The 14,302-nt window shown below is 42.5% G+C and overlaps 1 long non-coding RNA gene across 1 annotated transcript in view, besides 1 other annotated feature; it reads right to left on the bottom strand.

Moving 5' to 3' along the window:
* Positions 1 to 266: 266 nt before the first annotated feature.
* The window catches only part of LIFR-AS1 (LIFR antisense RNA 1), a 114,431-nt gene continuing 100,395 nt past the window's right edge, over positions 267 to 14,302 (bottom strand). Inside the window, exon 9 of the long non-coding RNA NR_103554.1 lies at positions 267 to 457. This is a non-coding gene — a long non-coding RNA (LIFR antisense RNA 1). The remainder of the gene's footprint in view (positions 458 to 14,302) is intronic.
* Positions 10,882 to 11,176: an enhancer, noted in NCBI's record as "tiled region #9095; HepG2 Activating non-DNase unmatched - State 10:DNaseD, and K562 Activating DNase unmatched - State 1:Tss". NCBI's record gives its function as "activates a minimal TATA promoter and a strong SV40 promoter by Sharpr-MPRA in HepG2 and K562 cells {active_cell/tissue: HepG2 | K562}" and the evidence as "EXISTENCE:reporter gene assay evidence [ECO:0000049][PMID:27701403]".

Genomic DNA, 14,302 nt, shown 5'->3' with positions numbered 1-14,302 from the left:
TAGGAGAATCGCTTGAACCCGGGAGGCGGAGGTTGCAGTGAGCCAAGATCGCACCATTGCACACCAGCCTGGTGAAAGAGCGAGACTCTGTCTCCCAAAAAAAAAAAAAAGACCCATTCCCTCAAAACATATTAAGCATCTACTTTCAGCAAGTACTACCCTTCATAGTCAATTTTAGTTCTAAAATGTCTTGATGTTGGAAGGTATTACAAACTGTTTTTCTGTGTCTGAGGTCACTTGAATTATAATCATTTGAGGTCTTTAAGTGAATTTACAGATGCCATGTTACTAAGAGATTGCATGATTTCTCTCCCCTAAACTCATTCCAGGGCTGACTGGAGGATCTCTGCTATTTTCTCATCTTTGCAATTACCACATAGTTGTGGGATGGAACATGTTGTCAGCCTTCTTGGTTGATGTAGCTGCCTGTTCCCTGGCTGTCTTCCCAGGCATGTACCTGTTGGGGACACAACGTCATTGGAGTGAGGGAGTCTTACCATAACCCCTCTATTTCCCAGCCCTCTGCCAGTGACTCATGAGGATCATGTCCCAGGCCCACCATACTGCACCTAGGAGGATAAAATCTACTTCTAAGCTTAACAGTGAGCGGCATTGTTTCAATTAAATATTTCCCACTAAATAAGGACTACAGTCTCCTCCAGCGGTTTCCCAAAGGGCATTTTCCATGAAATTGGAAGGGAACATTCTTTTAAAGAGGCTGGCAAAGGCATTCATCTCATATTAACCATCGTAAGAACAACTTGCTTGTTGAATGTGGCTGCAATATTTATCTTGCCAAAGAGCCAAGTTTCTCATGTTATTTCCCTATCCAAAAACTGCCATCAACCCCCATTGCCTATAGAATTCAAGATGTTTACGTGCCTCTTTTTTCTTTTTTAAGGAAAACCCTCTATTGTCTGGTCCCATCTTACTTCTTCATTATTATTATTTCCCATTGTTCCTGTCTGTATATTTTTTCATCTATTCTCAAATAAACATACCTCTGTCTCTGGGGGAGGGGAGAGGACAAAACTTACCTACTACTGTTGATTACCTACTACTGTTAAGCACTATCATAAATATTTTCACATTTGTTATTTTATAGCTAAAATATTAAGATCCAGAGAGGTTATATACATTGCCCAACTTATCAGTGGGTAAGTTGGAGCTGTTCTCAAGGTCTGTTTGACTTCAAGATCTTAATCGTTCTGCTTTAACACACTGCCTGTAGTCTAGGGATCCTATACTCCAGTCTGCTAACTGCAGGGTTGTTCTGGAAGTCACTCCTGGAAGATGCCCTAGCACTTGCCCCCCCAGCCCTTCCCATTACCTTTGTAAGCAACCCTGCATTAAATTTATTTCTGCTGAAATAACTTGGGAGACTTCTAAATCCTGACGGATACAGTCTATTGTCAGGGAATGTTTTTACATAAACCTTAATATCAAATAATCATAGAGCTTATATTTCTTTCAGCCCTGCCTCTTTATTTTACAAAGGAGTAAACTGAAGCCAGAGAGGTAGAAAAAATTGTCCAACATCACATAACCACTTTGTGACAAAGTTCAAATACCTTTGCTCAGAAAAAAAGGGGCCAAAATGGCAGATTCAATAAGTGTTTTAGAGGCTTCGAGGTATTTAGCCTGGGGCCAAATCCTGACCAAAACTCACTAGCTCTAGCTCCTTGGGGAAATCCCTTCACCTCCCGAATCCTCTGTTTCTTCATTTGTAAAATGATGATGATAATAATCTTTTGCAGCACTGTGGAATACTGGGAGGTTATATATGTAAAATGCCTAGTACAGCATCTGCCTCATAATATGTGCATTATGTATTTAGGTGCATAATATGTGCATTATGTATTTAGGTGCATTATTCTTAATTTCCCAGAATCAGCAAGGCCAAACTCCTTTGCATTGTGGGCTAACAGGGAGATGTCCAATAAAAACAATGATCCTTTAGTTCTCACTCCTGCCTAGCTCTAAGAGGCTCAACAAATACTATGAAAGCAAATCAGGTGCCCCATGGACAAAGACTAATAATGATACACCATATCTGACTCAAACATTTCATTCATTTTTGCACTCAGCAAAGAGTAAAATGGTTTCTAATCAAGTAAAGAATCCTAAAATTGGATTCATAGCATATAGTGCCAGGTTCAAAAGGGGATAAAAACATTACTTTTTTAACATTCTTGCTAAAGAAATGTTCAGCATACTCCATGTTATTCTTCCTCAATTCTTTTTCTTTTCTTTTTTTGACACAGAATCTCATTCTGTCCCCCCAGCTGGAGCACAGTGGTATGATCTCGGCTCACTGCAACCTCCGCCTCCCGGGTTCAAGTGATTCTCCTGCCTCAGCCTCCCAAGTAGCTGGGACTACAGGTGCCTGCCACCATGCCTGGCTGATTTTTGTATTTTTAGTAGAGACTGGGTTTCACCATATTGGCCAGGCTGGTCTTGAACTCCTGAACTTGTGATCCGCCCGCCTCAGCCTCCCAAAGTACATTAATAACTTTTTAAAACTCTGAATATAATAGGCATTAAAGATTTCTAGAATGCCATGGGTTCTGAGTCATGGGGAGCTGCAAGTGTTTCTAATGCACCGATTCTCACAATGCTGAAATGCTCTCCCTGCCCATTGACTCAAGGGAGCCAACCAATGAACTACGTCTGTTCATGGAGAGATGCATGTAGGGATCAGAGTATCCCAAAGATGCATTTTTCTAGACAGTACCTGGTCGCTGTACACCAGTTACCAGTGCAGGGAAGTGTGAACATAGCCAAGAATTCGGACTGAAATTCAGAAGGCTTTTAATTCACTATTGGTAGTGAATATTTCTGACTCAAGTCTCAACAGAAAACAGAGTGCATTCAGGATGGTACAAAGAACATTAAAGAAAAGACTATCTGTAGAGGACTAAATGGGATCAGAAGGGACTCTGAGGCACCAGGGGACTGATGAAAGTGGGCAGCCATTACACCCCCAGGTTTGAAGGGTCAAGGGGAGAACTGGCAGGTGCCAGAACCCAGTAAGAGCTGTAATGTGGGAGAGGAGGCCTTTGATGGGAGTTTGCTCATCAGTAGAGGAACAGGACCACCATACCCTAGTGAAGAGGGGAGTCAAAAACACTGACATCTCTCTTTCCCACCTTCTGACCGCTTACTAGTGCCTCCCTCTGGCTGAACCACCAGAAGCCCATTGATACAGTCCATACCGGCAGTCTCCTGCAGCTCAAGGCAGAGCTAAAAAAGCTGGAAATGGATTTGGAGGGGCAAATCAAAAATAACCTTGCGTGGCAACTCTGTGAGTCCCGGGAAAGGCACAAATACAGTTTTCTTTTTCTTTGTTTTGCCTTGGTTTGTCCTGTATTGGAATGGCTACGTGATGAATTCACACTTATTGATGGGAGAAAGTTATCTACTACATACTTGTACCCAGATTAGATATGGCAATCAGAAGGTCCAGTTCAATTCTCTAAGCAGCTGAATTTTCTTAACTACCTGGGAGGATATGTCACATTTTAAAGCCATACAAAGATCTTCAAGGCTCTGCATTCCAGACAGTTTTCTCTATTTGTTGGGATTTTCGGAAGCCCAATGAGTGACACTCCTGTTCCTTTCAATCTCCCTATATTGGGAGATTGAAAAATCACATTTAATATTTAAAGCTGATATTAGACAGCAAGGTTTAGTAGGAATGCTAAATGAGCTTACTAAAATTGTGCTGCAGAATAAAATGTATCCACTCAGTCACAGGCAAAGCAGGAAAACACAGGTCTTGCCCACGGGGGCAGAGTCTTTACTGCTAACCTCTTGAGCAGATGAAAACACATGCTTTTTGCAAGTGGACAGACCCCTAAAGAGGAGAGGTAGGAGCTGAGGCACCATGCTCAGTTGCTTATCTCATTCAGGGGTTAGGTCTGTCCTTGTTCCATGGTGGAAGAGTGAGTCACCTGCCAACAACAAGAAGGATATGTGCAAACAGACAAAGCAGAAGGTCCCATGGTCCATCCACCCATTATTCCCCTTCTGATAGTAACCCCCGGGGTGTTCTATGGGAGAAGGTGATCCGCTTGTCCCCCAGGCTTTTAAGAAATGTATCAGTGCCCATGTCTGACTTCCCAAAGCCCTGGCTTGACCTGTTGACATTGGTTTGTACAACTTCTTGGAGAAACCAGTTCCTTGTTTTCCTCCCATGGATTCTCTGTGCCCCCAAAGTGTGGGGGAGATAGCAGGAGACCAGCCTCCACCTCCGCTTCTGTCCTCCAGGTGGCAGGAGCACCATCTGGACTGTTCTACAGCCTCAGACCAAGCCAAAGATAACAGTATGTTCATGCACAGGAACACGCTGTGCTTCTCCAGATCCCAGGAAAGCAAATCCCAGTGAAGGTCAATAGTGGTACACTGTTTATAACTCAACTTTGGGTAGGAAGAACAAATATTAGGCCTCAGAACTTTCTTTTGTCAAGGACTCATGAGCCTTCTGCTAGGTCCCATCTGATCTTTTGTTAACTAGGTTCTTTCAAGCCCTGTTTATTCAGTGTCAAAAATTCTTAAGCAGCCGAACTCAAGTACCTGGGCTAGAAAGCTGCTATAGTTGCTCTGGAGAGAGTGGCCAGGAGTGGCAAATACCCTCCTGGCCCAGGCCCCACTGACTCTCCTCTCCAGGCTGCCTCTCCAACCCCAAAAACTCATCCAAAAGATGGTGCAATACAATACAACAGAGGCTACCTTCTCACCTTAGTGGTCAGAAACTAGAGCCATGTGTACAATTGCCTACTTGATATTTCTTCTTCAATGTCCCAAAGGACCCTGTCCCACTTCTGCCCCAAGCCTGATCCTTCTATAGTGTTTCCATTGTCAGTGAAGACATTCCCATCCAGACAAATGTGCAAGCTGGAAACCTAGGAGTCAGGCCTATCTCAATCCACATCGAAGTCATTTCCAAGTCATTTCTATTTGGTCCCCAAATCCTCTCTTGAATCCCTCCACTCCCCTCCATCCCCTCCTCTACTACCCTGGTCTGTGCCACAGTCATCTCTTTCCCTACCTATTCTGCCTGAATTCTTTCTCATCCTGCCTCCAATTCAGCCCCATTCTGCAGCTACAACAATTATTTTTTTCCAGAATGCAAATCTCATCATCTTTCTTCTTTAAAGCCCTTCAGTAGCCTCCTATTGCTCCTGGGAGAAAAATGAAAAGCCTAAAATAATCCACTAGATCTTCATCCAGCCCTTCATGCATCTGCACCTCTCTTTGGGCGGCACTTCTATTGGCCTCCAACCCTTTGTATTCTGGTCCCGCAGGTACTGTTTTTTCTCCCACCAAAGGGCCAGTGCATGTGTGCTTTCTCTATGTTGCTCCTCTCTGTGGAGGTTGAAGGCTTACATCTCAGCTAGGAGGACTTCCTCAGGGGCCCCTTTCTGACTTTCTGGAAGAGACAAAACCTCCCCCACTACATTTTTCCATGACAAACATGGGTTTCCCCCCATTCAGAGCACATGCCGTAGTTGTCATTTGTTGTCATTTAGGTGGATTATTTATTAATGCTTATCTCTCCAACTAAAAATGTATCCCCATCTAGGCAAGAATGACCTCTATTTTTGCTCAAAATGATTTGTGTTTGCAGAACCCGGCAGGAAGATTGGTAGTGTATCTGTGAACATGTGTTGAATGAATTGCAAGGTTTTCCTCAAACATGTACAGAGCAGGACATATCCCTGTGGTGTTACTTCCACTCTGGGCTGATCTTTGCCAGCTCAGCCTGGCTCCCTGGTTTAGCCAGCATCCAGCCCTGGGGAAAGTGTGTTCTTCCACTCCACTCTGTGACTACCCTGAAGGGCGAAACCACTAGGGTGGGCTCCAGAGCCAAAAGGGCCAACACAGAAGTACTCCACTAAGACCACACCAAGCTCCCCAGGGCCATACCACAGACTTAAGTACTGTCACTACTATAGGAAGTTCCTGCCGCCAAACTGCCAATGCTGCCTCTGTGTGGGTAATTAGGCTGTGCCAACCAGAGCCCTGCTGGTCTCTTTCTGCTTTAGGCAGGAGGCAGATCTCAGCTGTGTAATGGGTATCAGAAACTCTTAGCGCCCTCTCACTCTGCCCTTCTCTCCTTCTCCTCCTCTCCTTTCTCCTCCTTAATTCCTTAACTGACCCCACCGCTTAAACATTTTTCCTGGCCAGGGAAAATGTAAACCAAACCCTCTGCATAGAAACCAGCTGTGAATAACCAGGTCAACATGACAGTGTGGTCCCAGTACATACCCATAGAAGTGGGGGACTTTCTCTAATGCATGTTATTTTGTAGAAAGGTGTCTGCCTGTGCCTTTCAGAATATGTAGTCTCCCATAGTGTGTGTGTGTGTGTGTGTGTGCGCACGCACTCAAGGTACATGTGCCCATAGTGTGAATGTGCATGAACTGTGTGTATATGTCCATAGCATGTGTGTGTCTAGGGGACCTGGGAAGGGTTCCATCTCTGTGTTCCACAGACAGCCCTCTCACTTCCACAGCAGCTGCCTGAGATCCCCATAGGACATTCTGAGGCAATTAGTGACCATCTCCTGGAGTAGTCATCGGAATCCACTTCACAAACCATCAACTACAGCGAGCAAAACTGACTCTAGCTGATGCCATCTGAGATTCAGCTCATTGTTTGCACTAAGCTCACACTTTCTCTAAGCTATTCACACCAATGACTCTACTTGGCAGGGATGACAAGGTAGGCTTGCCTGTTCCTGGCTGACATAGGCCTCTTCTGACAGCTGACTTTTACTCAAGGACTGCCTGATGGTCTGAGTGAGTCTTTATAGGCTTCAAGGCCATCTCAGGAGCTTCCAACAATCTTCTTTCCCTGCTAAGCTTGCATTGCAGTCGATGGCTCTCCCAGCCTATTCAGTCCTTGCATGTTTAATCTCATTTTAGGATCTGCTTCTTAGAGGTCCCAAATTAACACAACTTCTTACCCATCTCCTTTAGAGAGCAGCACCTCCAATAACAGCAAGACCTTCCAGCCATGCTTTTCTGGGACTTACAGATCTTGAGACAAGAAAGGATGAAAAAAACAACATTCAAACCACCCATATTGGCTGGGTGCAGTGGCTGACACCTATAATCCCAGCACTTTGGGAGGCTGAGGTGGGCAAATCTCCTGAGGTCAGGAGTTCGAGACCAGCCTGGCCAACATGGTGAAACCTCATTTCTACTAAAAATACAAAAATTAGCTGGGCATGATGGCGGGCGCCTGTAATCCCACCTACTTGGGAGGCTGAGGCTGGAGAATCGCTTGAACCCAGGAGGCAGAGGTTGCAGCGAGTGGAGATGGTGCCATTGCACTCCAGCCTGGGTGACAAGAGTGAAACTCCATCTCAAAACAAACAACAAACCACCCATATCTAGTGAACGTACATATAAGTGGACCATACACAATACATTTTTTTTTTTTTTTGAGATGGAGTCTTGCTCTGTAGCCAGGCTGTAGTGCAGTGGCATGATCTTGGCTCACTGCAACCTCTGCCTCTCCAGTTCAAGCGATTCTCCTGCCTCAGCCTCCCAAGTAGCTGGGATTTCAGGCGCGCCACCATTCCCAGCTAATTTTTGTATTTTTAGTAGAGACGGGGTTTCACCATGTTGGCCAGGATGGTCTCGATCTCTTGACCTCATGATCCGCCTGCCTCGGCCTCCCAAAGTGCTGGGATTACAGGCGTGAGCCACCACAACATGTTTCCAAAAATGCCCTTCAAAAGTAAGGAAACAACTCAACAACATGCTGGGGTTTGTCAGTCCTTTGTCCTGCTAAATTTCTTTTGGACTTTGAAGGGCATCTTAAATAGTGACAAGTCCTTTGGTTACCTCAGCAAGGCCCAGGTGTTGCACATGTAAGGCCAGGGCCACCTCAGCATTTAATTCCAGGCTGCAAATACTCTTGGCTTTGTGGTCTTCTCCTCCTTCACAGGGTCAGAAGCCAAAAAGCAATGTTTCATATTACAAACAGAAGGAAGGAAACTAGCTGAGGGAATGAACAAAGCATCTATTTTGAAGTGGGGTTGCCAAGGCTGTGCCATGGAAGAGGAAGATGAAGTTCATGGCTTCACGAACATTCTTGGATCAAATAGTCCATCAGAAGAATGATCTCATTTGCATATGTATACCATTTATTATCATTTGATATTCATATATGCACATATAAATGAAGTCATTTTAATCTAGGAAATGATTTATCTGTCATTCTAATCAGAGGGTGTTTATTATTATTGAAAATAGCTACAGCATTTATTAAATACTTACTTGCTATTGCCAAACATTATGTTAAGCACTTCACATACACTTTCATTTAATTTTCAACTTATAAAAGAGGAAATTACGTGCTGTGGTAGGATTCTGTAAACTAAAGACACAATTTTATCCCCTCAGAATTTTTTTCTAACTTGATTTATTTTTAATCATTGAATCAGTTGCCAGACCAACTAATCATAAGGTTCTAAGAAGGGAGCTGCATGCGCCACTTCCAGAATAACCAAGGCAGGGAGAGTGTAAGCCCTTGTTCTAGGTCACACCATGAGCAAGGGCAGAAACAAGATTCAAACTTAAGATTGTTCAGCTCCAAAGATTTCTTTCTGTTCCTTAGAACAACAGTGAGCACTTAACAGTAGAGTTAAATGCTTTAATAACAAAGTCCATGATTAAAGAAATTATTGTGCAAATGAATACAGAAATGGAACTTTGGATTTGAATCTCAGCTCTGGCTCAGATGTTAAATAACCTTGACAAACTGAACTTTCTCTTGGGAAAAATGAGCCTATCTTCAGGAAGGTACGAAAGGGCTAATGATCCTGAAAAAGCCCTGCCTCTCCCAGAAGCAATAAGAGGAATAACAAAGAATAATGAAACACTATATCAATATAGTGTGCAATGGAATTGCTTAAATCATACACAACATTTTAGCTTCTTATAACATTAGGAATCATATTATCACGGTTGAGTTATGTTTTCCTCACTTCCTTGTGGCCGCAGAAATTCCAAGTTGCAAAATGAACTTTAAAAAAAAAAATCCTTTACTTCTTTGAAAATTATTCACTCCTTTCCGCCTGTTTGCTCCCTGAGAAATATTTTTGAACAGTGTTTGCTACCCCCTATTTATAGCTTTCCAGTTTTGGCAGGTATGGGAAAGTTTATAAGTGGTTTGTTTTCTTTGCTATAGCCAGTGTTGATTTAGGTCCCTTTAGCCACTGAAACAATTGGAAGCACTTTCAAGGAAGGCAAAGTCTGTTGACGACTGATAACATTGTAAAATCCAGATAGTCCGAATCAGGATTTCTTTGGGGGGCTCAGATCAGTTAGAAAATCTTAGCAGTGCCATGATTTGAATAATTATCTTTACTTCTTTTTTTGTGTATGGCTGTTGTGGAGGAAGCTTGCCCTTGACATCAGTAGGAAAAGCATCTCCTGAACATTGTCAGAGTCATTGGTGACTCTGAGTTTGATGCTGACTTGGACAACTAGGTAAGAAAACGTGCCTGCAGTGCTCTGTATCTGAGCTGTAAAGATCTACCTTATGAACCTATGTCTAACATCTAGTTTTTCACCAATTTTTCATGCTGACCAGAAGCAAACATTCGTGGTTCTTTTGTTTAGGAGAGATACCTGGAATTTCTAGGGTTTGTTTCATAAATATCTGAACTAAATAAATACCTTTGAAAGCCACGAGAATTATAGGCATCTTTTCCTTCCATCTGGTATGTTTGTATGGGTGGTATGGTTGTTTTTTTTTTTTTTTCCTGGATTTTTCCACCCTTTGCCTCCCTATAATTTGTGGGCCTTGAGAAAAGTCACGGTTTGCCCTGTAAATGTAGAGGGGAGCTTGTTAAATTGGGGTCATTCCATTTTTTTCTTGTCACCTAGGTTCTTGTCTGCAGTGCTCCAGGGAGTGGGACCACAAGGAATAAAGAGCTTCAACACAGAGAGATGGATTTCCAGCCTCAAAAGCTGGAAAGATGGCAGTGTTTCTGAGATTAAATGGCTCCTGGAAAGTAAACCTCACTGGGGACAGGAGCAGAATGTGGAGGCTGCCCACCCGCCTGTCATCTGATCCAGTGGCAGCTCAGAGGGAATAAAACCATCAGGTCTCCTAAAGACACTTAGGAGGATAGGAGGCCCTTGAATAACTCCACCCATCCATCCACTGGGACTGCAGAAAAGGCAATTAACTCTCATACACACCTGGGAAGCCAGGCATTTTCCCCCACTTTAAAATGAGTAAGGGACTTTCTCCAAGGTCACTCAGTCAGGTTAGGTCAATTCTGGAAATAGATCTGAGGCAGTACCATACACATACCCCACCCCCACCCCCTGCTCCACCCCTCCCCGACCTGGCTTCTAATTTGCAGGTCAATTCTTTCCTTTTTGCTGTGATCACTGATTTCCTCCTCTCCTCTTTTTTAAATTTAATTTTTCATATTTTCCTCCAGCTTTATTAAGATATAATTGACAAACTGTATATATGGTGTACGATGTGATGTTTTAATATATGTATACATTGCAAAGTATTAAATCAAGCTAATTAACACATCTAACACCTCGCATACTTATCCTCTCCCCTTTTCCTTTTCTTTATTTAAAAATATCTGACAAATAAAGATTGTCTATCCCCCTTTTAAAATGTGACTAGTAGTTTAACAAAGCCTTTAAATTTTTTTAATTATGCAAAAATTCAAATATATACAAAAGTAGAAATGAAGTGGCATCTTGTCTGGGGTAAATGACCGAGGTTCGTCATCTCACGCCAAAGAAATCGAGGGCTCCAAAACACAAGAAGTGAGTTTAAGGGCAGAGGCTTAATAGGCAAGAGGAAAGAGAAAAGAACTCTCTCTCTGGCAGGAGGAGAGAGAGAGAGAGGGACTCCTGGGCGGGTGTTCCGGTTTCATAGTGAAATGCCCGGGATTTTATAGACGAGCTTGAGGAGGCGGTGTCTGATTTACATAGGGCCCAAACATTGGTTGGACCAGGTGTATCATTTACATAGCACATGAGGAAGCTGGCCACCCCACCCTGATCTTTTATTATGCAGACAGGTTCTCTACGCTGCCTGCGCCATGTTGCCTGTTCCTTTACTGTAGTCGTGGTTGACAAGGAAAACGGAAGAAGGAACCTCCATGTTGAACATGTCTGGCCCCCAGGTAGTCTTTTCCTATTGGCACAGCTGCCGGCATTCACCCGTGCAAGCTTCTAGCTTGCTTACCTATGCCTGCAGCTCGATTTTACAGGCTGCTCTTTGTTAGAAAAGAAATGATTTGGGGGCTGCTTTTTGTTAAAAGGGAAACCTTACTGAAGACTCTCTTACCCTAACTGCCTAAATAATTTATTTTTAGCTCCTGTTTTAGCCCAGACCTCAGTCATATCTGGCCTCATACTTCTTGGTAGACATACCTAAGCATTGTAGATATTTTCATGTGTAATCATATGCCATTTCCCACTCACAAAAATCGTTAATATTATCTCCCACACACTTGTATCTAAATGCCCCTAAAAAAAAAGTCAGCTTGCCATTGATTTGATTGAACAAGAATCCCATCAGGCTCCTTTCATTACATTTGCGTGTAATATATCTTCTGTCTGTTTTTTTTCCCCCCCTCTGTCGCCCACACTGGGTTGCCCAGATTGGAGTGCAGTGGCACGATCTGGGCTCATGGCAACCTCTGCTTCTCGGGTTCAAGCGATTCTCCTGCCTCAGCCTCCCTAGTAGCTGGGACTACAGGCGCATGCCACCATGCCCGCTAAATTTTTATTTTTAGTAGAGACAGGGTTTTACTATGTTGGCCAGGCTAGTCTCGAACTCCTGACCTCAGATGATCTGCCTGCCTCGGCTTCCCAAAGTGCTGGGATTACAGGAGTGAGCCACTGTTCCTGGCCTCTTCTGTCTGTTTCTATTCTTTTCCTTCCCTGTCAAGTATTTCTTTAAGAAACCAGATCAATTGGGCCGGGCGCGATGGCTTATGCCTGTAATCCCAGCACTTTGGGAGGCCGAGGCAGGTGGATCATGAGGTCAGGAGATTGAGACCATCCTGGTTAACACGGTGAAACCCCGTCTCTACTAAAAATACAAAAAAATTAGCCGGGCGTGGTGGCGGGCACCTGGGAGGCTGAGGCAAGAGAATGGCGTGAACCCGGGAGGCAGAGCTTGCAACTCCAGCCTGGGCAACAGAACAAGACTCCGTCTCAAAAAAAAAAAAAAAAAACCCGATCAATAGTCCTAGTGCTCATTTATTTTTCCACTGTTACCCACTGTTATTATATGTGTATTATTTGAGGATGAAGAGTTGGAAAATCTCTTCCACCAAAATCCTAGCAATAAATAGAAAGCATTAAGTATTAAGAAATAAGCTATTCTTAATATGTAGATGAGGCATAGGTGATGATGATACATGTAAAAATAAAAGAATGTCTTTAGATTTTAAAATAGATTAGTAAAAAGGGTTATAATATAAACCACTTGTTTTGGTTTAAGTGTAGCACTTTTCTAGAGATACAAAGTAAAGTACCTGGACAATAACTCATTTTTGAGGCACTAAATTGAAACCGAAAAAGAATGTACACTCGTAAAATTGTCTGGACTGACCCTGGGAAAAACAGTCAATTAGTTGCCTTTTTTTCTCTCCTGGTCAATTCCCCACACCCTGTTATCTATTAATAATTTATTTTTAATTCCTGAATTTTAAAAACAGCTTCTTTATTAAGCTGTTGATTGACATACAGTAAAATTGACATACAGTAAAATGCATAAAGTTAAGGTATACAATTTGATAGGTTTTGACATTTGAATATACTTATGAAGTGATCACCACAATTAATATAATGAACATATGATTCAACCCCAAAAGTCTTCTCCTGCTTCATTGTAATCTCTCCCTCCCGACTCTACACTTGCTCCCTACCCCAGACAACAATTGATCTAAATTCTGTCACTATACATTAGTTTGCATTTTCAAGAAATTTATATACATGGAATTATGCGATATATACTCTTGTCTGGCTTCATTGAGCATAATTATTTTGACATTTGTCAATGTTATACTGAGTATCAATAGTTCATTTCCTTTTTTTGTTGAGTAGTAATTCTTTGCATTCTATTTCTGATTAACTGTGGTAAGGATTTACAAAAGGTCTCTTACCTGGACCATTCTTGAGCCTTTAATGTCTTCAATACTTCTGATGAGCCACTGGTCTTTTAATATACTAGGGCAAATCACACTTCTTTAAAACCCACTCCCAAAGGAATAAGTCTTTGCACTATCATACTCTTTTGAGCTTTCCTGATCCCAGTTCAGATACATAGAGATCTGAATTCACTATTCTCTTCCAATGTTATAATTATATGAGTAGGTAGATGGTGGGAATGAGTAGCGTCAGGGAAAGAATGACATTCATTTAATAAGTCATCGTAACACCAACTTTTTCTTAAAGGCAACACCCAGATCCCTTTACCCACCAATCCTCTGAGTGCTTCTAGTGCTATAGAATAGTTGAAGTATCCTATTTCTTTTCTTTCTTTTTGTTTTTCTGAGACAGAGTCTCTCTTTGTCACCCAGCCCAGTCTAGAATGCAGTAGCACCATTTATGGCTCATTGCACCCTCAAACTCCTGAGCTCAAGAGATTCTCTTGCCTCAACCTCCCAAGTAGCTGGGACTAAAGGCATGCACCGCCATGCTTAGCTAATTTTTCTGATTTGGTATAGAGACGAGGTCTTGTTGTGTTGCCCAGGCTGGTTTCAAACTCCTGGTCTCAAACTATCCTCCCACCTCAGCCTCCCAAAGTGCTAAGATTACAGGCAGGAGTCACCACACCCAGCCAATCCTATTTCTTTAGCTACTATAAGTTCTTTTACATTTTCAAAAGATTAAAACAATTATGATAGAGAGAATGCTTTTTTTGATATCTTATGCAAAGGATGTTTTGTTTATGACTCAATATTACTTAAGATACATTAAGCATCCTTCATAGATGGTGTTGATCTGATGATCATGAGACATATCCAGAGACAATAGTTCCAGAAAGAGAAGATGAACATAATCATGGTGAGAAGAGAAAGAATGGGAAACGCCGCTTTTCATCTTGCTCTTAATCCAGATTATAGAATGAAAATAATGTTTCCACACTATCTCCCCCATGCCCCACCCTATTGTGATTTAGTACAGTTACAGGATGTCTTTTCACTGGAAAAGCTTATCTTCTCAAGAAAGCAGTCCTGATTTGCTTGGCACATACTGGCCATGAGCATTCAGCCTTTTTCCTTAAGGAGTCA

Source organism: Homo sapiens, chromosome 5, assembly GCF_000001405.40.
Source record: "Homo sapiens chromosome 5, GRCh38.p14 Primary Assembly".
Lineage (NCBI taxonomy): Eukaryota > Metazoa > Chordata > Mammalia > Primates > Hominidae > Homo > Homo sapiens.
This window is presented reverse-complemented; position numbering and strand designations above follow the sequence as displayed.